Below are 25,441 nucleotides of genomic sequence, written 5' to 3'. Positions count from 1 at the left end.
TCCGCCAACATCTGGACTTAGCTCCACCCAGGAATATACATGGCAGCATGGAGACCACCCACCTGCTTTCCCACTTAACTGGCCATGTGATTCAAGGCAGCATACTTCACCAATCTGGCAAAGAGCAGGCACTCAACACACAACAGCTCTCATTCCATAAAACCAGGATTAGCCAGAGAAATGCCTGCAGGGAAAGTTGACCAGACAGTGTGTATTCTCACACACCCCCAGGAAAGTCTAGAGAATCTTTGGCCCAGGCTTAGCACAAAGCAAGACGTGACAATGTTGGGGAGGACAATCAGGGCACTGTTATTTGAATCACTAAAAAGTGCTGGACACATTTGATTCCATCACTAAATCATCACAACAACTTTCCAGGCAGGGAGGGCTTTTGAAAGTGTTTTGTGCCATGAGTCTATGGACCTCTCGTCAAATAATGTTTTCAACTGCGTATAAAAAAAATTATAAAGGAAACCAATTAATTCAAAATGCAGTTTTTATAAAATTAAAAAACATTTGTGATATCATGGTGTATGTGCCTCATTACTAATGCATTAAATATCTAGCGGCAAGTTTAAAAGCAACTGTAATTTTGAACTGGATGAATACAAATGATATTTGGAGTTATCTGTAACAACTGTAATGTAATATAGGGGCGCAGTGGCTCACGCCTGTAATCCCAGCACTTTGGGAGGCTGAGGTGGGCGAATCACAAGGTCAGGAGATCGAGACCATCCTGGCTAACACAGTGAAACCCCGTCTCTACTAAAAATACAAAAAATTAGCCAGGCGTGGTGGCGGGCACCTGTAGTCCCAGCTACTCGGGAGGCTGAGGCAGGAGAATGGCGTGAACCCGGGAGGCAGAGCTTGCAGTGAGCCGAAATTGTGCCGCTGCACTCCAGCCTGGGCGACAGAGCGAGACTCTGTCTCAAAAAAAAAAAAGAAAGAAATAGAAAAAGAAATATGTGTGGCTTGTTCTGGTGACAAAGTCACAGGCTGCTAACAAATGTTGCTGACATTCATAATAAAAGAAAATGCTAAATTTTAGTTAGAAATTTGTGAAAAACAAAAATGATTTTTTTTCCAATCCAAGTCCAAAGACCCCCCTCTATTTCATTCACAATTTCCTTGGACTCCATTATTAAGGTAAATCTTTGTATCCCCAATTTACAAATGAGGAAACACGAGTTCAGAGGAGTTAAGCAACCTTTCAAAGATCACACAGTAAGTGAAAGAGCCAGGGCTCAAACTCAAAAGTGCTGTTTGCCCCTAAAGTTTGCTCTATTTTCACTATACACAGCAGTGCTTCTCAATCATGCTCACTTGTGAATTTGTTAAAATGCGTATTCCTAGGCTCCACCACTCGAGATTCTGACTCAGCAGGTCTGTGGCAGGGTCTGAGATTCTGCATTTCTGACCAGCTCTCCGATGATGCTGCACTGCTGATCCTGGGACCACACTTGAACTTCCCAATAATGATTCGGGGAAACTCTATTCAAAATAATGAGTCTCCCAGTCCTTGACTTCTGAGCGGGTGAAAGAGACGATCACTTTGGACAGTTGCACTGAAAGTCAGAGAGCCTTCACAGTCAGATGTGCGGGTGCAGGCTGGTTCTCACCACCCCGTTTGGCTGTCTCCTTTCCCCTTTCCTTACCATCACTCTTTAAGCTGCCTGCTTTGATCATAATCTTTCTCCAGGCTGCCCTTTTTTTCTGTTTCGCTTGTATAAAAGTGCTGTGGCAGAAGAAAAGCCCTCAGAGTGATTTGCCCTCAGTTACGCCCTGGGGATGGTCCTGCCTGCAGCTCTTGGAGTGAGCTGAGAGGTCCACACTGCCCCAGGCCCTGACCCCTGCTGCCGTCCTGAGCTGTGTTCCTGCAGAGCCCTTGCAGACAGGCTGCCCTCTGTGCCTGGGCCTCACTCAGCCTGCATCTAGTCCAGGGATGCTCAACGTTGGCTGGATATGGAGAAATACTGTTGCGTGGCTCCCACCCCAAAAAGTCTGATGGTCCGGGGTGCTGTCTGGGCATTAGAACTTGTAAAAGGTACACAGGGGATTCTAAGAAACAGGCAAAGCAGAGGATCACTGGTTTAGTGAAAGGAATTGTATTGTGCACACATTTACGGAGCGCCAGCCAAGTGTCAATGTGTTACACGCATCACTTTTATTTCATTCTCACAGTAATCCTGTGAAGTAGGTGATATACCTCCATTTTACAGTAAATTGTCCAAAGCCACACAAGTAAGTATATGACCTGGAATTTAAATCCACATTAGCCTTTCTCCAAAGTCTGAGTTCATGAAATCTGCTATTTCCCTGTGAAGATGACATAAAAATGGCAACATTCTCTCTTACACCTAGGCCCGGCGTCTTCCTTTTAAATCAGTGTTTATTCTTTTTGCTGTGATCAAGTGTTTAAAAAATGTCACGGATCTGGAAATCCATCAGGCTGCACCTTAAGGAGGATTGAAGATCTGCAAGGTCTTTTCCAGTTCCAGCTTTGGCTTCCGAAGTCTATTTGTCACAAAAGTGCCTCCTGTTCATTTCACTGGATGCCTCCTCTGGCGTCCTAAATGCAACATGACAAGTGACAAATGTTCTGAAAGGAAGGGAGGTCCTTGGACTACAATCATGTTGGAATGAATGACTACCCCGAGCAGACTAAATAAATTACCCAGCATTCACTTTAAGCCAGGAGAGAAGTTTTCAGGAACTTAGGCTAAGAGTCTTAAGCTCCCTAAGTGTCTTCAGGCAGCAGGATAAGGGGGTAAGAGGACAGACTATGCAGGTAGAAGACCTGGGAGCAGAAGCCTTCCTGACCATGTGGTTCTATGAAAAGTACTTATGCTCTTGAACCCCTTCTTTGTGAAATAAATCTTGAAATTTAATGCATTAATAATGAGGCACATACGTTACTATATCACAAATGTTTTTCAATTTTATAAAAAATGTTGTTTTAAACTAATTGGTTTCCTGTGAAATTTTTTTTTGTTATGCATTTGAAAACATTATTTGAAAAGAGATGCATAGCTAAGTGGGTGCTATAAGGATGAAAGAAATAATATAAAGAATGTTTGGCACAAATATCAGGCACTTAGTAATTAACAGCCGTTAATATTATCATACCTTGCTTTGCCATAATCCTGGCCAAAGGACTGTTTCTTTTTTCCTCTAAATGCTCTTGGATGACGTTTTCAGCTGTTAAACACGTTTTCTTATTTAGCCACAGTGTCGTTGTAAAATACTTTGGTTCAATTTCCAGTCTAGAGATGAGCATATTTGCCTACAGGCATTTCCTATAAGATCAATTCCTAAGGCTTTATGTGAATATGTACTAGAAGAGACCCCAGAAAAAAAGAATATAGTTGAGGTTAGGATGTTGGAAATACTGGTAGTTATCCATTCTTTTAAAAATCCACTTGGAATATTTGTATAGTACTTGAAATAAAATAAAAGCAGTGGAGTAAAAAAGACAGGCTGTGAAGATGAGCAGTTTTTGAAAAGCTATCATGTACAGGCACTAAGCAGGCATGTCTATATGAAAGCATTAAACTCTCCAAATAACCCTCTGAGGTATGTATTATTATACCCATTTCATGGGTCAGGAAACCAAAAGAGAGGTCACAAAACTTCCACAAGATGACTGTGCCAACAGAGAGGGTCAGGGATTCAAACTGAGGTCAGTGTGACTCGGAAAGGTGTGCTCCTTCTACAGGTCCTATGGCCATCAGTGAGCACCTATGCAAGTGGCTCAGCAAAGGCTGTCCTGCCTAGAGCCACATAGCTCATCAGCTGCAAACTAGGAGACTAGAACCCACGTCTTTGTTCCTCAAAGTTAAAGGAACTCAGGTATGTTCTTTGAGAAAAAAATTGCCTCCATCAGATATATTTTTTAAAAGAAATTTACAAAGTCCTCAAGTAAATCTTTATTGGATAATTTAGGTTGGGCCACGTATTATCAGAAAATGCCTTGATAGTAACTGAGAGATGTGTTGCCACACCCCTTCCCCTCCCCTCTCAAAGCACTTTGGATGGGTAGATACAGTTTTCCAAGAGGCATCAGCATAAATAATAGATCATGAAAAGAAACACTAGGCACCATCCTCCTTTGAAAGTGGATCAAATTGGCCACACACGTAGGTGTGTCTGCTTAATGGAGTCGAGGGAGAACAAGACCAAAGATGACTTCATGTCAAGTGAAAAACATCTTCATACAGAGCTGAACATATGCAGATCCCATTAGAGCAATGCAAGTCACTTGCAGATGTTACCTGGCAGCTTTGCACCTGGCTCTGTGAAAAATACTAATTGGCTTCAAGTTATAGTCAGACACCTGATTGGCTGGGATGTAAAATAAAAATTTAAATCCATCAGTGTGGGAGGCTTGCAGCTTGGAGCCTATACAAGGCATCTATGCACAGAGTCCGTGCTTGGCATTGGTGAATTCCTGTACCGGGCTCCAGATAGAAAACTTAAAATGATGCAGTATTACCCAACGTGGATTTAAACAAACAGAAGATTTTCCAGCTACCTGCAAAATGGAGCAAAGATTCATGCCTGGAACTGGAAATAAAAAATGCCAACTCAAATTTGGTGCTCTTAGGCCGAGGATGAGCCACTTCCTCCATGTATAAAAGAAAATGGTTCAACACTCTAGTGACTACTCTGTGCAAATGCGAAATGGTTCTTGGATGAAAAAATCAATGTTACTGTGCCTTGCAAAAATATTAATAATGCCTTGAACAAACACTTCTCTTCGAGGAGTCCAGAACACGCTGTGCATTTCTTCTCATTACTCCCTATGCCCTTCTCGTTAGTCTCACTGTCTCCCTCTGTGGGCAGGTAGGTGAGTGGTATTTCAGAAGGGGAAAGCAAGGTGAGGCGGCTTGGAGAGCTGGGTCGTGGACCCAGAGCTCCTCAACTGCCCAGCAGGAACCACGCCCAAGCACCCTGATGCTGTGGGTGTCTAGCAGATGGACACAAGTGTAACTGGTGCAAAAGCAAAAAAAGGCCAAAAGTAGGAAAGGACAAAGGATGAGGGAGAAAGAAAAGCTTTCACTGCCATTGTGGATTTGTAACTCCCAGACAGCAAAGACCAAAAGTTCTTAGGCTAAGCAGCCTCAAGAACAAGAAACGGTTGCTGATGGGGGTTGGAAGGGAGACACAAAACCTAGAGGATAGCAGAGTCAACTGCCATGCATTTCATCACGTGATCCAGAAAGTTGGAACCCTCGTCAGTAACTCAAACACCAAAAATCTCTAAGCCTCTTTTGGTTGATCAATTTGGCCCCTAAAACCAATTTACACTACAGCAGTTCCCACTGCTGCTAGCGAACGAGGCACTGAGCAATTACTGCCTGACCTATTGCTGACCCCACTAGGTGTTCATGGCTCTAGATATTTCTGGTGAGTTTACATGGGTGACACATTTGTCAACCAGATTGTTCTTCTTTCTCCAGGAGTAACTGCTGGCCAGGCTTTGAGGGAAAACACTGTACTCCCTTGATATTATTAAATACAAGAGACCCTCATACCTTCTGGCACCAGAGACTTTACTCAGAGCCCTAAGGGAAGAAGCTGCATGGAACTGAGCGCATTATTGAGCCACACACCAGATCTGAGGGACTTCCCTTTTGGCATTCCTGCTCTATTAAAAATTCAGTCCATGTAATCCCAGCTACTCGAGAGGCTGAGGCAGGAGAATCGCTTGAACCCAGGAGGCGGTGGTTGCGGTGAGCCAAGACTGTGCCATTGCCCTCCAGCCTGGTCAACAAGAGCAAAACTCCGTCTTTAAAAAAAAAAAATCAGTCCAAAAAAGAGATGGTGACACATTATAATCATCTACTTGTCTCTGCATTTCTACATAGAGCATATGTAGGGAATAGCTGCTTCACAAATATTTTGAATAAAAAATGTAAACTAATAATTTCATCAGTTGTATCTGTCTTCAGGTTTCCCACACACCATACATATTCTTGCATGGTTTCAGATCATGGTAATATGTATTCAATTATGTCTATACAGAAAATTGTTGTTCCATACATAAATCCCATCAACAGATTCAAATAGAACACGCTCGCTGTGGGATTCTGTGTATTGTTCTTAATTCACTAGACTGCTGTGAAAAACATATTCATCTCCTGAAAAAAACAAATCCAAGCTCCTGTTTTATGGTAGACAGGCCCTTTATGTTATGCAAGCCCAACACTACCAGTCCTCCTCCTTCTACAGATTTGGAAACATCACTCGATAGTGCCCATGATATCATGAGACCTTTAGGCCAGTTAAGCAACTGCAACATACACTCGGCCCACAGAATGTCTAACTGGCCTTAGTAGATATTAAGATGTGACCACTTCATGGGGCAGGATGTGTTTGTATGTGTGCCTGCCTGCATGCACACATAGGGGAAAGACAATGAAAGAGCCAGAGAGGGGAAACAGAGGGCACATATGTCTGTACTCTCCTCCTGTTGGAAGTTGAAAACAGCAGCCTTATTCTTTACGCTAAGTATAGGTTCCAGGCATTTGTGCAGTCATATTCAATAATATATTCTGGGCCTGACAGTTCAGATGTGTCAGCATTTCTATTACCATTGCCTATGTTTAGAGTTCTTTATGCAGTCAAAAGTGCTAAGGCCAAAAATTGATATGAAGATAACAGAGGCAAGATATAAGTAAATAAACCAAGGAACTAGGCACTTTTCTTTGGTATTTGCATTACAACATAAATATAAAAATCAATTTAAAAGTATTGTTGGGCTGATTTCTATTTTTTCCCTTCTTTATTTTGGTATGAGAGGTAAAAATCCAAGTTTCAATAATGGCTTCTGAGAAAATTCACATGTCTATGATTTGGGTTTCTAACAGTTGCTTTTAAAAGTGAACCAATCGATACTGTGTCCTGAGGGACAACTGGGCTGAGCATCTCATGAGGAAGTAAAGGGAAGTGTAGAAAAAGTGAAAGACTAAGATAGACTTTCAATAAATAAAAGAGTTCACAATGTAGATGAAGTTGTACAACACATGAGGTGTTCTTCAAGAATTATACAACAGAAAAATTGAGTGTAAATTCAATTTTAGCAGATTAGGTTTTATTTTAACTGCATCGGGAAAACCACATAGATAAAACTATCTTATTGTTTATCCTTTACAATTTTAAAGCAAAACAAACACAACAGCATTTTATTTATTTAATTGTAGTGCATCCGTATTTTCACATATTGGATTTTAAAAAATCTCTGCTTACAAGAAGAAACGAAAGCCCAAACAAGAATGTAGTATGTAAGCGAGTACAAAATGAGATAGAGTAGAAGGCAAACTGATTACCTAAGTCCCAAGAAGTCAGGAAACAAAGTGTAACTCAGATCCAAGCAGGGTTAACCAGGAAAGGCTGCATTTCTGTGTGTACCTGCTGCTTTCTTCAGCACTGCACTGTACAACATTCTGGGGCAGCCTGAGAGATGCAGACTATACAAATATAGTCTCACATCTCACCACCAAAGCACAAACATTCCAGAGGCATGGAAGCCAAAGTGTAAACACTTCTGCAGTCAACTCTTAACTATTCACATTTACAGAAGGAAAGAGCAAAGGCACCACTAATCCAAGAATAGATAAATGGAAAGATCACTGAGTTAGCTTTGGAATACACTCTTGCATATAGGTGTATCCATGTTCAAGGAACTCACAAGTCTGTTATGAATATTAGTCATAAGGAGTTAGAAACTTTCTCCAGGAGTCAGAAACCTTTTCACCATTTATTACAGCTACTGGAAATAGAGAATTAACTGGACAATCTCAAAGACACATTCTTAGACTGGTAACTAAAGTTCCATTGACTCCACCAGACAACTATAGAACTATACACAATTTTGGAATTTGGCAAAAAAAGTATGGCATGGACAAATAACCCTGTTCAAAATTGAAAATAAACAGCAGGAAACAATTTTTAAGAATTCTATAAAAGTACTGAAATTCCCTTTCAATTGCTGCAAGTTACCTCATTTCAGTTGTCTTGTTTTCATTGCCTCTCTGCTCCTTTCAATATATTCGGTTTTCTTGTTTTCATCTTTAATACACTGAGCTCTCTCTTCATTTCTTGTGCCAGGTCTGCTGCTTCACCTTCATGAGCTGTCTTCAGAACCTTGCTCTGGATGTTCTCCTTGAAAGCTCTTGTCCATGAACATTTCAGATAAAATCTTATCAAAGCTTCCTCCGTCATCACTCTGAGTCAAAGAAAGTCACTCTGCTAAACTTTACAACAGAACTTTTGCTATGTGCACTTGGATGGACATCGTAAGCTTCCAGGGAAGAATTAAAGAGATTAGGTACTCCTTGCCCATGATGCACAATGACACTGGATCCTTTCGTAAACCTAATTTCACATTTATAATCCCAGGTCACATGCATCAAAAAATGAGCCAAAAGTCATACAAGCCCCTTCATTCTGATTCCCACATATTTAGAATGAGTGCAATATAATATAAACAGCATGCGATTCAGAGTCTGAATTTGGTTCCTAGTGCCACCACTTACTGGCTATGTAATCTTGGAAAAGATCCTAAACTCCTCTGAGCCTGTTTCTTAACCTGTAAAATGGGGATACATAATAGTACCTCTTAGGCTGGCTATGAAAATCAAGGTAACATAGGTAGAATGTTTGGCACAGGTACTAAACGTTAGCTAATATTATTAATGCTTTTCTTAAAATGAACTTATTCTAATTATTGGCTTTTAGCATTATAGTTTAGATGTCCATATTGAACCAATATCTCTATGTGATTTTTATCCTGTCATAATTGAAGTTTGCCACTGTTGATCCCCCCTGCTAAGTTGAGATACTAATTTGAAATTTATGGCCAACATCTAGCCTGAGTGATCATATTCCACCCGTGTGAAATTAAGCTCCCTCTTAATGCTGAAGATTGAGTATTTCTCTACATCTATGTAATATAGTCTGTTCAGACTTAAAATTTGGAGCAGTGCTGCTAGATACTGTTGAATCGAACAGAGAGGGAAAGGGTTATTATGGCAGGAAGAGAAATGAAGATTACTTAATGAACTTGCATTTCAATTGAGCAGGGTTTTTAATACAAAAGAAAGAGCTTTTTATAAATTCTTTTGCTCAGCAACAATAAAAAGAGGAAAAGAGCACTCAGCTGGGAACAATAGCTACTCAGCTCATAAAAAATCATTAGAAGGAACATTTTCTTTGTCCACCATGCCCAGCAATTTTGCTGGTGGGCAATTATCCAGATCACTTAGGTTCCACCTATAAAAATGAGTCCAGAGAACCTTCTCAACTTTTCCAGCTAATAAATTATGCTAACAGAAGTCCTCATCTCTTAATGTGTGTAATGCCACCATAAATAAAATTTTGACTCATAATTCATGGAATGTTTTTGACAAGTAGATGATACTGATCCAGCCATTAATAGGATTTGCTCTTTGGGTTGCTTTTCCATTAGAAGGGACGGACTATGCTGACACATTTACTCATTCCCATCAAATCCTCCTTGCAGCCAGGAGCCTCCATCTAGTTGATGACTGTTGGGCGAGGTGCAGGGTGCCCGAGGACAGCATGGTTCCACTGTGTGAAATTGGCTGGTGTACTTGGATATTTAACTTTTCACTGCAGTCTCCGTAGCTCATCTTAAGTTGGTTGACTCAAGAGAAACTTCATATTCTTGACGTAAAGAGCCTGGCTGATTCATCTTCTCCCACAAATGGTATTAAACCATATTAAGCTAATTGTCAAGTGTGTTCAATTACCTTATCAATAAAAGCTCTTTTCTGTGTTCAAGGTTCCCCAGGACAACCAAAAGATTTCTGCACATGAATAAAATATATTATTTCTAATGATGCTGCTGGGTGATCAATCATAAGCACGCCCATTAATGCAACTCTTATATGTCTTGTTAATTAAAAAGTATGAAGGAAAAAGTTTCCTGTTTAAGAATGTATTTTTTTCAGTTTGAACATGTTGCACATTTTAAGAATGAATTTATATCTTTACTGCCTGATATAGTAAGTATTCAATATTTGCTGAATGTCTAAAATATATTTCATAAAAAGTAAAGTGCTTTGAAGACTAAACAATGTATTCCAAGCCCAACATTTTTTCCTTACTAAACTTCCCTCCACTTTTGACTTTACGCTGAAGACTGGCACCATCAACTAAAATCTAAATAGCTTTCTATGTTCCCCTTGAATTAACTGTCCTTGACTTACACTTTCTCTGCAATCGGAATTGTTTTATTTTTAAAAGGCCTTCCTAGGCCCTCAGATTGCATCTAAGATGTAAGTATGCACAGAAACTGCAATATCAACAGAGCTTAATTAAGCAGAATATGCAATGACAGCAAATATGCAAGCGCAATCTTTACTGAAGACAGGTAACCACTCAAATAAGCTTTTTACAGATAAGGAGTTGGGGGGAGGGTGTGGCTGGTGAAAATTCAGTTTTATAAGCCTACTGCCATTTAGATAATTACTCCTGAATATCTGCAACTGTACTTGTTCACTGCAACAATAAACAAGACTGATATGATCCTTGCTCTCAGAGAGCTCATAATTCATGATATTACTTTTGCTGGATGCACCAGAAAAAGAGGGATACATTTTAACCTTCTACTATGTAGGTATAGTTGTGGAGATCTGGGGATTAGGATGGCATCTTTAGGTACAAGGGTAACAGCAGAAAAATAGTTGTATTTATTATCTGAAACTTTCTGGGCTTATATTTCAAGTAACTGTAGTTCAATTATACATGCCTGACTTTGTTCTTAAGTAATGCCTTCACAGACTCAAGGGGGAAAAAAAATCCCAAACCTGTCCTGCTGCATATTAAAGATGAGCACTGATTCCTTCAGTCCTCTCTATCCTCTCCCTTTGAATCGAGGCAGGCTCTGTAATTCTTAGGCCAACTGAATATGGCACAAGTGATGCCCTGACAGTTTCCAGACCCAGAACAATTTGGCAGCTTCCATTTTTTGTCTCTCAGACCGACCACTCTCTGTTATAAGACAGCTGCTATGGTGACGATGCTCTAGTAGCCCTGTTGAGAAGCCTATGTAAAGAGGAACCTGTGCAGAAAGGAACTGAGGCTCTCAGCCAACAACCAGGCCCAACTTGCTGGCCAGAGAAGTGGTGCCTCCAGCCTGTTAATGCTGCAAGGAATAGAGACGAGCTGTCCCCACCATGTTCTATCCAAATTGCAGATTCGAGGGTAAAATAAATGATTACTGGGACATAACTGAAACTTTACCCTGAATCCAAGGTATTATTAAAGATAAAACTAATTAAATGAGGCAGTGAAAGAAGTAAAAATTACATTTTTTTAAGCATTTACGTGACTAAATGCTTTACACATCCTTATTCTCTACTATAACCTTATTTGACAGGATTTTTTAAAATTTCTTTTTATTATACTTTAAGTTCTAGGGCACATGTGCACAACGTGCAGGTTTGTTACATATGTAGACATGAGCCATGTTGGTGTGCTGCACCAATTAACTTGTCATTTACATTAGTATATCTCCAAATGCGATCCCTCCCCCCTCTCCCCGCCCCACAACAGGCCCCGGTGTGTAGGATTATTTTCTCTATTTTATAGATACGGGTTATTGACTAGAAAATTAAGTAACTGCCCAAGATCACATAACAGGAAGATAGTATTCAAAACCAGATCTGACTCCAAGGCACCTGCAAAGCAAATGGGAAATAAGGAAATTCCAAGCTAATGCTGGGGTGACTCAAATTCTCATGAATAAAGTATGGATTAGGAAAATATGACATCAATTAAAAGGTGCATCTGAGGGTGCCCCAATATTCCTTAGCAGAGCTTTAAAAATTAGTGGTAACATTTTTTGATGCATAGTATTCAGAAAACAGCAACATTTTCTTGGTACGTAAAACTTTATGATGCCTGCTAAATGCAAGTGCTCCAGAGTAAAGAGGTTACAAAGATGAATGGCAAGATCCTTGCTCTAAAGGTTCTTGCATTTTAGTATGAGAAATAAGGTATGTTACACCAAGAGTTGCTTCACAAGGTACCAAGCTATAGCCCCTATAGTTATGTACCATGTGAAGAATAAAGTGCTATGGGAATTTATTCATTCACTCAACAAATATTTATTGGGTGCCAATGTAACACCAAACAAGACAGATACAATGCCTGCTCTCAGAAAGCTGATAATTCATATTACTTTTGCTGCATGTACCAGAAAAAGAGGGATACATTTTAGCTTGGCCTTCAGCTATGCCTAGACTTTGGGCAGGTGGACATCTGGGGATTGGGATGGCATTCTTAGGTACAAGGATAACAGGAGAAAAGTGAAAACACTAAAGCATGAGAAAATTAGTAGGACACGTATGGGGACTTTAAAGCAAGAAATATATTTTATCGACTTCAAGGTTCCATCAATTTAATTCAGGATCATTATTTTATAAACCAAAAGAAAAAATAGTAATTAAAGTTTTACTGAAATGGTTCTCAACTGGGGGCGATTACTGTCCTCTAAAGGGCATTTGGCAATATCTGGAACCATTTTTGTTGTCACAACTGATGAGAAACGACTAGTCTTTAGTAGATAACAGGTCAGGGATTATTGCTAATCATCTAAAACGCACAAGAGACCTCCCACAAAAAAAATTATTTGGCCTAACATGTCAATAATGCCAAGGTTGAGAACTCCTAAACTACAGAATGTTAGAAGTTGAAAGATGCATCTAGGATATCTAAAAAGTATTTTAAGATAGAAACAATGCAGTAGTTCAGTTTACCTGGAATGAACCCAAGATTTGTAAAGGAATACTGGGAAACAATGCTGGCACTCTATCTGAATCTGTTCTCTCACCTTTGGAATAGTAAAGTGATAATGATCAGGGACTATGTTCTAAGAAATTAATTTAATGCAGTGTAAGTCACAGGGCTGGCCTTTGATGACCACTCTGTCCAAACCTTGCTTTCCAGAAACCCTGCACTCTAATCACTCCGATTGATATATCTATTTCTGCTAATTCTCATCTCAGAATAACACTTACCTCACCAATCATATGGTATCGGAATATTTTTCTTTTCTAAAGCCTAGCTCTATGCCACTTATTCCTCCTCTCATGCAGTGTTTAACACATTCTTTTCTTCCTTTGAACTTTTAAAATATATCATCTGTATCTAACAGTATTCACTATTTGTGATTTATCCTTCCTCTACATATAAGTTCCTTTGGTTCATGATCCATGACTGCTTCATACTTGCAACTCTCAGGGGACGCACGATAGTGCCTTGCACATCAAAAGGGGTCAATAAATATTTGTAGAATGAGTAATGAATGAATATACAGTACTGGAAGACTATAATTAAATACAAACTCCTCAGACTTCTCTCAACCTTTCCTCACAGGGCTCATTTTGTAAACCTGAATCATTTTAGTAGCTCTCCAAGTCCTCATGCTTTGGCTATAGGGTCTCAGAGATAGTGGGGTTCTTTAACAAGTCCTTAACCCCTACTTTACTAAACACCATTTAATAAATTCCATTACATTTCAGATCATATCTCCAAGAGGTATCAGCCAGTGCTTGTTCTCAAGACATTTAAAACACCTTATATAGGCAGAGTCCCAAATTCCCTAAAAAAAAATTGACAATGAGGGTACAAATATAAACAATAAGAGGTCTACTCATTGCTCACAAATCCCAATTGCATTCTTGATCATATTTTTTGCACGTGTGTGTGTGTGTGTGTGTGTGTGTGTGTGTAGGGGGGAATTCAGAACATAACAAAAATCTTAAAAATGTATGAATGTCACAAACAAAATAAGAAAAAAGATCAGTTATAGAATTTAAGGAGATCTTTAAAAGATAATAAAAAGCAAGACTATTAACATTTTATTGTTATACAGCTTAATGGTGGAAGATAAGACTGTGGTCAATCCATATAGAAAATTAAGAAGACCATGTTTTAGAATATTTTGCAGGGCTTTTTTTTTTTTCGAAGTCCCCTCTTTTTTTTTCCTTCAGTGTGGTCCTTAAGCATCAATGTTTGGTGGTTGTTTCTAGCAAGTCTTTTGCTTCATTTATTTTGGCTGCTACGTAAGGAGATCCACCTGAGAGAACAAAGAAAAATGAATTAAAATACATTTCATCATTGACATACTTTAAAGTCCCCAAAATATAAAAATACTCTTTTTTGAATATTGTCTCACACATTAATCCTCTGACAAATTATTTTATAAGCTAACTAGAAATCAAAACAGTATAAATTAAACTTGATTAGTGAAGTCCTACAACTACCCAACAATAAAAAAAAACCTCTGAGAAAAATGATGAAAGAAAGTTATAATCAGGAATAACTTGAACAACATTCAACTACTGCACTGGTCAGACATTCACCTTTCAAGTATTTGACCAGAGAATTTTCTAAAATTAAGTGGATGGTTAGGCAAGTAAAATAACAGTCTTTTCCATGACTGTTTTTTTTTTTTTAAAGACACATTCATCTGTGAAAACGGGTATCTTTTTGAAGAAGGTAAATCAATCCAAGGGGTCTTTTAAAGTATTAATCAAGTCTTATAATGTCACAAAAATAAAATGTATGTTTAAAAAGGCAACTATATACTACCCAGTGCCAAAAACCTATTTACTTAATAGAGATAAATGATCTAATCTTAATAAATGAGAGATAAAAATAATGTCAAAAAATTTTTTTTGTTCTCTGAAATGATTCTATTCGAATATTTACAGAGTGTAGTTTTGGATTTACAGTGCAAAAAATAAAATTAAGTCAGTTCTTTTTTAGAGTTCTTTGCAATGAATTCTTTCTAATGCAAACAGCAAGAGGAAAATTGAGGTGAATTTCAAATGCAGAATCATTGTAAATCACAAACAGAACCTACATACAAAAATACTAGCACCAAACTGTCACATGAAAGCTAAACATCATATACCTTCTAACTTCTAGTCCTCAATACTGTCATTGTTTAATGCTTAGACTAACAATCATATTACAGCTCACCAGTCTCTTTGTGTTTTTTATTTTGTATTCTCCCCTTAAGTGCAAACCATCTATAGCTGCTGAAAATATCATAAGGTCTCAGTAGCTTACAACAAACCAAAAAGCATCTAGCTAGTATTGGTGTAAATTGTTCTGACTTTTTTCTGGCCTTTTATTGATACCATACCACCCAGCTTATGAAGGGAAAAGAAAGCAAAGAAAATAGATCAACAAACATGGTGTTGTGGTAGAAGGGGTAATGCTGGAGAAAGCTATATTTACCTCTTTGCCCTTGAGGATACAACTGACATTTTCATATCAAGATCTGAATTGCTATAAACACTTATGGAATATATCATAGTATGTCCCTGAATATGCTATAAGAGTTACAAAGAAAGCTGATAAAAGTTTAAAGCACTTGGTTATGAAATATGTTGATTTCATGATTATCTTTGAAGACAATCTAGCAATCAGGAATTAGGTAATGTCAATGTGGTAAGCTGTTTAAATTCTTAGAGTTATCAGGGTGATGTCCTCGATGTCTTGGATATCCTCAGCAAATATTAAAATATTAACTGAACTTAAACATAACCTTTAATTGATATGCATTATGGATATTTAAATCATAGGCCATACTATGCTCACTCAGCAGTTGGAAAAAATCAAAGGCACAGATGATAGAGAGTCTTATTAAATATTATACTTATTGATAGCAATGTTAGAGGAAAAAAATGACATGACAATTTATTCAGAATAACGTTGAATTCTCTACCACTCACTCTAAGTTAGAGGGCTTTTAATTTATGTACATGGTAGACATTTTGGACTGGTTCTTTTGACCCTCATTCTACCTCTAAATAGTTGGAAAAGTTCCTCAGTCCAAAACTACAATTCTTATAGTCTCTTCAAGTAGTGTTTGATTCACATTAGGTTCCATTAATTAGAGCCATTCTTGTGGGACTTGGAAGGCTGAAATGAGAGAAAGGCTTTCTTGCTGCACCTCTTTATCATTATTACTACTAGTAAGCAAGAGTGTGGTATAGTGGTGGCAGCAACTGTGCTTCTCCCACAGTTCTAGTGGCAGCCTGTGAGGCAGCAGCTTCCCTGACAGAGTAGCTCTGTAATTGTTTAGGAATGATTCTTGTAGGCCAAGTGTAGAACTTGCTCCTTCAGATCTTCCAACAATATGTAACCTGTACTAAATGCTCTCCTGGTTATAATATCTAGTTGCTGGCAGTGAATCCTGACTGATAACATAGGATAGGATGCATACCCTAAATTTAATGAAAACAAAATACTCTTGGCTGGACACAGTGGCTCACGCCTGTAATCCCAGCACTTTGGGAGGGTGAGGTGAGAGGATCACTTGAGCCCAGGAGTCTGAGACCAGCCTGGGCAACATAATAAGACTCTGTCTCTACAAAAAATTAAAAAATTAGTTGGGTGTGGTGGTGCACACCTGTAGTCTGAACTACTGGAGAGGCTGAGGTGGAGGATCACTTGAGCCCAGGAGGTTGAGGCTGCAGTGAGTCTTGATCGCACCACTGCACTCCAGCCTGGACGACAGGGTGGGGCCCTATCTCCAAAAAAAAAAAAAGAAAAGAAAAGAAAAGAAAAAGAACAAAAAAAATAACACTCTTCAACCCCTCTCAGTTTTCTAGGGGAATTCAGTGGGTTCCATTTAATTAGAACACTCACCTTCACCCTTAGTATTTCTGTATCTTTGTACTTCTACCACTAAATATGGCCAGAAGTCTTCTGCTTCTGGCTATTGTGAACCATCATGTTTAAGGCCAACTCTCCCACTGACACCCAACTAGAAGAGCTAAATAAAATATAAACACATCAGTATAAAAGCACTGGAGGGCTACCAAGTCAGTCAGGTCTTGAGGGCCAAGATCCTGGAGATAACGGAAATGCACTATGATGAGCCCAACATTCTGCACTGCTTTTTTCCTTCAAAGAAGCCAGACACAGAAGAGTATATAATACTATTCCAGATATATATGAAACTCTAGAAAAGACATGTTTAATCTATAGTCTGTGGCAGAAAGAAGAATGGTGATTGCCCAGGCTGTGGGGAGGGATTGGCAATGGGAAGGGGCAAAAAGGAACCTTTGGAGCTTATGGAAATGGTGTATGTCTTGACTGTTAGTGATTACATGCACATATATATTTGCCAGAACTTGTCAAATTGTGCGTTTAAATGGGTGCATTTTATTCTATATAAATTATATCTCAATAAAGTTGATTAATAAAAATCCAGCAGGTTATATATTGTTATAAGAGACTATACTTTTAAGAAATAGAAAAAAATATACACTATCAAAAATAACGCTGACATTGTTATACTAATTATTAGATAAAGTACATTTTAAGGTAAAATGCAAAAATAAAACAGCCAATTTCACAGTGTTACAAGGGTCAGTCTACTGGTAAGAGAAAGCAATTGTAAATCTGAATATACCTAATAAGATAGCCTCAAAATATACAAAGGAAAAAAGGAGAGAACCAAAAGGAAAAACCCACAAATCTACAATTTTAGTGAGTGATGCCTCTTCTCAATAATGCATAAAACAAGTAGACAAAATGAAAGAGTAAGAACACTGAAGTTAAATAACATCAACAAACTTGATTTAACTGACACACATACAAGATTCCACCCTGCAAGTGCAGAACATATCTTCTTTTAAACTGCACATGGAACATTTACTGTAACTGATCATGTGCTAGGCTAAAAGCAAGTCTCGACAAACTTCAAAGATTAAAATAACAATAAACGGTGCTATTTAAAGTGTGTTCCATGGATGAATGTTGACTTACAACTGCTATTAGACCATAGATAGGTTTGGAAATTGAGATTAAGTGTTTAGAAAATATACCTGTTTGAAATAACAGTGTACCCCTGTAAAACCTGGATCTTATATACATACTTTTTTCTTCAATTTTCTCATAATTTCATTTTCATTGTATTTTACAAAAGCTGTCAGTTCACCAGAGATTGAGAGAAAAAAACAAAGTCCTCCAACACAGAGTTTCAGAAACATTGAAACGGAGTCTGTTAGCTGACCATAGTAGAATTAAACACATATAGAAGATCCCAATGTTAGAATATTAATCAATATACTCCTAAATAACTCATGCGTCAAGGAAGATATCACAATAGAAATTAGCATTCGAGAGAGAATCAACACAGGGAAAGATTAGTTCTCTAAAAAACTAATCAACTTCATGTCAGAGCACATAAAAATGTAAAAGATAAATTCCAAGAAAAAGAAAACATTTCAAAATTAATATAAGAAGAAATGGAAAATCAAAAGAATATTTAAGAAACTAAATATGTAATTAAAAACCTTCCCATAAATAAAAATCCTGGCCATGATTTTGTTGAATTTTTCCGAAAAACAGAAGAGAAAGAAAACACTTTAAACTCTTTTTATGAGGCTGGCATATCTTTGATAACAAACCCTAATGAAAATGTCACAAGGAAACCACAGACCCAGATCTCTCATGAGCACAGGTGCAAAACAAACAAAATACTCACTTATCAAATCAGACTAGATATGATGACCAAGTTAGGTTTATCTCAGGAATGCAAGACTGGCTTACACATTCAAAAATTAATCGATGTAATTTACCACATTAATAAAAAATAAATATATATTTATTAATTTATTTTTTGAGACGGAGTTTCTCTCTTGTTGCCCAGGCTGCAGTGCAATGGCTAGATCTTGGCTCACTGCAGCCTCCTCCCCCCAAAGTGCTGGGATTACAGGCGTGAATCACCACGCCCAGCCAAAATAAATACATAATCATGTCAATAAGTTCAGAAAATTCAACACACATTCATAATAAAAGCTTTCAGTCAAGCTTCTGCATAGCAAAAGAAATAATCAGCAGAATAAACAGACAACCCACAGAGTAGGAGAAAATCTCACAAACTGTGTATCTGACAAAGGGCTAATATACAGAATCTACAAGAAACTCAAACCAATCAGCAAGAAAAAAATAAATAATCCCATCAAAAAGTGGGCTAAGGACATGAAAAGACAATTCTCAAAAGAAGATACACAAATGGCCAACAAACATTAAAAAAATGCTCAATATCACTAATTATCAGGGAAATGCAAATCAAAACCAGAATGCCATACCATCTTACTCCTCCAAAAATGGCCATAATTAAAAAATCAAAAAAAATTATAAATGTTGGCATGGATGTGGTGAAAAGGGAACACTGATACACTGCTGGTGTGAGTATAACTAGTATAACCACTACGGAAAATAGTATGTAGATTCCTTAAAGAACTAAAAGACCTGCCATTTGATTCAGCAATCCCACTACTAGGTATCTTTCCACAGGAAAAGAAGTCATTATGTGAAAAAGACACTTGCACACATGTTTATAGCAGCACAATTCACAATTGTAAAAATATGGAACCAGCTTAAATGCCCATCAACCAACATGAGGATAAAGAAAACATGGTACATATCTATAATGGAATACTACTCAGCCATAAAAAGAAATAAAATAATGGCATTTGCAACTATCTGGATGGAATTGGAGACCATTATTCTATGCAAAGTAACTCCGGAATGGAAAACCAATCATTGTATATTCTCACTTATAAGTGAAAGGGCATAAGAATGATATAATGGACTTTGGAGGACACAAGGGCATAAGAATGATATAATGGACTTTGGAGACTTAGGGGGAAGAAAGAAAAGGGAGATGAGGGACGAAAGACTACACATTAGGTACAGTGTACACTGCTTGGGTGATGAGTGCACCAAAATCTCAGAAATCACCACAAAAAAGCTTTTCCATGCAACCAAACACCACTTGTTCCCCCAAAACTACTGAAATAAAAGTAAATAATAAATCATAACACTAAATGAGAAAGGATTAAACAATCCAATCAAAAGGCAAAGGCTGTCGCACCGGATTAAATTACAACATGACCCAGCCAGGTACAGTGGCTCAATGCCTATAATCCCAGCACTCTGGGAGGCTGGGGCAGGAGGATCACTTGAGCCCAGGAGTTTGAGGCTAGCCTGAGCAATATAGCAAGACCCTGTTTCTATTAAAAATTGAAGAAAAGCAAACAAGCATGAGCCAACTATATGTTCTCTACAGGAGACACACTTTAGATTTGAAGACAAAAATACTGAAAAGTAAAAGGATGGAAAAAGACATATCCTGACAGCAGCAAATCACTGAAAAGCTAGAGTGGCTAATGAGACAAAGTAAACTTTGAAACCAAAAATGTTATTAGAGACAAAAAGGGGCATTCCATAATGAAAAACGGGCCAATCAACCTGGAAGATGGGACAACTGTAAACATATGTGCACCTAACAATAGAGCACCAAAATATATGAAGCAAAAACCAACCAAAACAAAAACAGAAACTAAGAAATGAAGAATAAATACCAGCTAATACCCCACTTTCAATAACAGAACAACCACACAAAAGACCAACAAGGAAACAGAAGACTTAATACTATAAACTAACAAGAACTAACACATATTTACAGAACACTACCCAATAATGGAATACGCAATTTTTCTCAAATGCACAGAGGACATTCTCCAGGACAGAGCATATAATAGGCCACAAAACAAACCTTAATAAGTTGAAAAGGACAGAAATAATACACTGTATTCTCCGACAATAATAGAATGTATTAAACATGAATAACACCACCCACAGCTTATGGGACACAGCGATAGCAGTGCAGAGAAATTTATTGCTATAAATGTCTATGTTAAAAAAGAAGACGGCTGGGCACAGTGGGTCACACTTGTAATCCCAGCACTTTGGGAGGGTGAGGGGGGCACGGATCACTTAATCTCAGGAATTTGAGACCACCAGCCTCAGAAACAGGGCAAAACCCTATCTCTACAAAAAATAAAAAAATTAGCTGAGCAAGGTGGCATGTGCCTATAGTCCCAGCTACTCAGGAGGCTAAGGTGGAAGGATCACTTAAGCCCAGGAGGTCAAGGCTGCAGTGAGCTATGACTGTGCCACTGCACTCCAGTCTGGGTGACAGAGTGAGACCCTGTTTCAAAAAAAAAAAAAAAAAAAAGACTTCAATAACTTAACCTTCAACCTAAGACAATGGAAAAAGAAGAGAAACAACTGTATGTCAATAAATTAGATAATTTAGAGAAAATGGACAAGCTCCTAAAAGATACAAACTACTGATACTGACTCAAGAAGAGACAACTTGAATATTCCTGCAACAAGAGACTGAATCAGTAAACAAAAAACTACCCACAAAGAAAAGCCCAGCCCCTGATGGCTTATAGAAGAGAGAAAGAGAACATTTCCTAATTTATTTTATAAAGCCTACATTATATTATCTTCACACCAAAACCAGACAAAGATATCATAAGAAAGCTACTGATCAATATATCTTATAAGTGTGGATGCAAAGATACTAAAACACAATACTAGCAAACCAAACCCAGCAACATATAAAAAGAATATATAAACATATAAAAAGAATTATAAACCACAACCAACCAAGGGATGCAGGAATTATAAACCTTGCAAATCCCTGTGGGATTTAACACAGGGATGCAAGTTTGGTTTAACCACCAAAAAATAAATATATCGAGTCTCATCAAAAGAAAAAAAAATTCACATAATGATCTCAATACATGGAGAAAAAGCATTTGACAAGATTCAACACACTTTCAGGAAAAAAGCACCTAGCAAACTAGGAATAGACAGACGTTCTCTAAGTGTTAGTATGTTTGTAGATAAAAAGCATCTACAAAAAACCCACAGATTGAATGAGCGAAGACTGGATGCTTTTCCCTAAGATCAGAAGCAAGACAAGGATGTCTGTTCTTAATAAACCTAGTCAACATTGTAATGGAGGTTCAAGCCAGTCTAATGAGGTTAAAAAAGAAAAAGACATCCAGATTGGAAAGCAAGAAGTAAGACTATCACTATTCATAGGTGACATGATCTTGTATACTGAAAATCCTAAAGAATCCACCAATAACTATTAGACCTAATAAATAAGTTCAGCAAGGTTGTGGGATAAAAGATCAATATACAACTTAATTGTATTTCTATACATTTATAATAAACAACCTGAAAATAAAATTATAAAATAATTCCATTCACAATAGCATTAAAAAGAATAAAATAGGAATAAACTTAACAAAAGAAGTCCAAAACTCAGACTTGTAAACTACAAAACACTGTTGAAAGAAATTAAGGAAGATCTAAATAAATAGAAAAACATCATGTCTCTGTGGATCAGAAGACTTAACACTGTTAAAATGGCAAAATTCCCCATTCTAATTTACAGATTTAATGCAATCCTTATCAAAAATCTCAGCTGATTTCCTTGTAGAAATTGACAAGCTGGTTCTAAAATTCATATGGAATTATTATGGAAGGACCATAATAGCCAAAACAATTCTACAAAATAAGAATAAAGTAGGAGGACTCACATTTCACAATATTAAAACTTACTACAAAGCAACAGTAATCAAGACAGTGTGGTACTAGGACAAGGACAGACAGACTGATCAATGAAACTGAACTGAGAACAGGAAGATGAGGGGACAATAGCTAAAGGGGTTTCTTCCTGAGGTGATCAAAATGTTCCAAAATTGAGTGCGATGTTTGCACATGTCTGAGAATATACCAGAACTACTGAACTGTATACCTTAAATGGATGAATTGAATTGTATGGTATGGTATCTCAATATAGCATTAAATAATGTAGAGACAAGGGGATCTGAAGAAAAATATTTGAGTCTGATTCGGTTTATCAGATCATTAGAGAATCACAGAAACCCAGAGTTGGAAGGGTCTGAAGAGGTTCTACCTCTTACCCAATAAATATATTCCTTCTATGACATCCCTAATAAGTTGCTCTCTAGTAGTTTTCAATCAAATTACCTTTGCTGCCTCTATCTGCACATCACTTTTTCCACTGCTGTAGCTTCAGTGCCTAGAAAGTACCCTGTTCTACCAACTTCCAGAAAGCCTCAATAATTACTAGCTGACTGATGTCTTACGTTCCAGCTAGAAGAAAAGTCTTCCTTATAGGGGTCAAATTTTCACTGCTTAGAGTTTCTTCTCAGTGAACATAATTCTGTCCTCATAGAGGCATACAAGAGGGACTTCACATATACATGCCACATTTTAAGTATTTGATATTGCATAGATCCCCTCTAAGTTTCTCAGTATAGCAAATTTTCTTTTTCTCTAACCACTGCTTTGGCCAAAAACCCAGGAGTGATCTTTCCTCATTTTTTCTTACCCCTGATTCATAAGCTTTGTTGGGTGTTCCTTCAAAATATATTTTGAATTAGACCTTTCTTTTTTTGAGATGGAGTTTTGCTCTTGTTGCCCAGGCTAGAGTGCAATGGCTAGATCTTGGCTCACCGCAACCTCTGCCTCCCGGGTTCAAGTGATTCTCCTGCCTCAGCCTCCTGAGTAGCTGGGATTACAGGCATGTGCCACCACGCCCGGCTAATTTTGTATTTTTAATAGAGATGGGGTTTCTCCATGTTGGTCAGGCTGGTCTCGAACTCCCGACCTCAGGTGATCTCCCCGCCTCAGCCTCCCAAAGTGCTGGGATTACAGGAATGAGCCACCGTACCGGGCCTAGACCTTTTTTTTTCCCCTTTACCTCCTCTACTACAACAACCCTCATCCAAAACAGTATCATTCTCTTGGATTACTACAGTTTTCTCTAGTGACTGCCTTGCTTCCACTCTTGACTCCCTATTTGCTTCATAGCTGCCAAAATAGTCTTCCTAATACTGCATAACAGGTAATAGCATTCCCATAATGCCCAACAGTAAAACCTGAAGTTTGTAGTATGGCTTGCAAGCCACTCTATCATTTAGCCTTGGGCTTCCTCTCCAATTGTATTTCCTACCACTCTCCCTTTTGCTTCCTATGCTCCAGCTGATCTGCTTATAATTCCAGAAACAAACCATATGTTCTCGTTTCAGGACCTATGCACTTGGTGTTTCTTCAGCCTGAAATATTCTTTCTTCATTTTGCATGACTTACTGCCTTAGGTCTCTGCTCAAATATTATCTCCTTAGAGAGAATTTCTAAGAAGGCTATAAGTAAATCAGCATCCGCCTCCCCTCCAGCTGCCATTCTCTACCTCATGCTCTGCTTTTTCTTCAAAGCACTTATGATCCATGACATCATGGGCATTTTTTATATCAGCCTTTTCTGCATAACAAACCACCCCAAAACTTAGTGGCGAAAAGCAACAATGTTCTTTTTATTTCTCACTTTTCTGTGGATTGGTAGGGTGGTTATTCTGAGCTGGGTAGTCCAGGATGGCCTCACTAGGGCCTAAGCTGGGATAGCTAGGCCTCTCTCTACTTGGTGTTTCTTCCGTCAGGAGGAGAGCTTAGTCTTCTTCACTTGGTGGACTCAAGGATCTAAGAAGGTAAGAGCTGAAGCTGCAATGCTTCTTGAGGCCTAGGTTCAGAAATCACATGTCATTTTTTGCTATATTCTATTGGTCAAAACAAATGACAAAGGCCAACCTGAATACAAAGGGTGAAAAATCAGACCACCTCTTGATGGGAGGAGCTATGAAGAATCTGTGGCCATTTTTAAACTACCAATTACCTATCTACTATTGTCTCTCACAGTGGAATATAAGATTCCTAACAGCAAGGTCTTTGGTTATCTTCTTCAGTATCTAGTGCATTATCTGGCTTACATTAAGTACTCAGTAAATTTTGTTGAATGAATAATTGCTCATATGACATTGTTTCCAGACACCTCATGATCCTGTTCAATTTCCTCTGAATACTATTTGGTTTGTCAGTATCCATAAAAAATCTGGGATCCAGAAACAGACACAAAATTCTAGATAAGATCTAAATGCCTAGCTCAGTACAGCTGGATAAATATTAATTGAATGAATGCATAACAAATAAATAGAGGATTGCAGTAATATTTGGTCTTTAATAAAGATACTATGTGTCCTTTATGCAGCTTAGGACTGCATAAAATTTTTAGCAGCTTTTATGCTGTTGAATCTTACAGGCCTTGAGATCAAATACATGTCCCATGGCTCTTTTCCATGTGAAACACTGCCAAATCTCTGTCCCACAGTTATACAATTGACTTTTGAGACTTAAAACATTACATTTATTTCCCCCAAAATTTAATCTCTTCTAAATCACCTTCTCTCGATCATTTCCACTGACAAACAAACCTGCTAAAAATTACTCAACAAGCTTTTATAATTAAAAAAAAAAGTAAAAAGCAAAATAAAACAAAAAACAGCATTTTTCCCTTAATGACTCATCCCTCTGTTGCAGACAATATTCCATTTCTCTCCTCCTCTTCCTCACAAAACTTCTCAAAATAGTTGTGTATATAAGCTAACTCAACTTCCGCATCTTTTCATTCCTTAGCCCTGCACCAATTAAAACTGTTT

General features: G+C 38.0%; 1 protein-coding gene and 1 long non-coding RNA gene across 2 annotated transcripts in view, besides 2 other annotated features; both read right to left on the bottom strand.

Annotated features, from left to right (window-relative positions):
- The window catches only part of LINC00400 (long intergenic non-protein coding RNA 400), a 46,302-nt gene extending 38,182 nt beyond the window's left edge, over positions 1-8,120 (bottom strand). Inside the window, exon 1 of the long non-coding RNA NR_047013.1 lies at positions 8,002-8,120. This is a non-coding gene — a long non-coding RNA (long intergenic non-protein coding RNA 400). The remainder of the gene's footprint in view (positions 1-8,001) is intronic.
- Positions 1,367-1,866: an enhancer, noted in NCBI's record as "H3K4me1 hESC enhancer chr13:43693555-43694054 (GRCh37/hg19 assembly coordinates)". NCBI's record gives its function as "activates a minimal SCP1, AML or CMV promoter by ChIP-STARR-seq in naive H9 embryonic stem cells {active_cell/tissue: H9 hESC(naive)}" and the evidence as "EXISTENCE:reporter gene assay evidence [ECO:0000049][PMID:30033119]".
- Positions 1,867-2,368: an enhancer, noted in NCBI's record as "H3K4me1 hESC enhancer chr13:43693053-43693554 (GRCh37/hg19 assembly coordinates)". NCBI's record gives its function as "activates a minimal SCP1, AML or CMV promoter by ChIP-STARR-seq in naive H9 embryonic stem cells {active_cell/tissue: H9 hESC(naive)}" and the evidence as "EXISTENCE:reporter gene assay evidence [ECO:0000049][PMID:30033119]".
- The window catches only part of DNAJC15 (DnaJ heat shock protein family (Hsp40) member C15), a 90,628-nt gene continuing 72,258 nt past the window's right edge, over positions 7,072-25,441 (bottom strand). The window contains exon 6 of the mRNA NM_013238.3: positions 7,072-14,107. Coding sequence (NP_037370.2) covers positions 14,037-14,107 — 71 coding nt within the window. The 3' untranslated portion in view covers positions 7,072-14,036. The remainder of the gene's footprint in view (positions 14,108-25,441) is intronic.

The sequence above is a fragment of the Homo sapiens genome, chromosome 13 (assembly GCF_000001405.40).
Source record: "Homo sapiens chromosome 13, GRCh38.p14 Primary Assembly".
NCBI lineage: Eukaryota > Metazoa > Chordata > Mammalia > Primates > Hominidae > Homo > Homo sapiens.
This window is presented reverse-complemented; position numbering and strand designations above follow the sequence as displayed.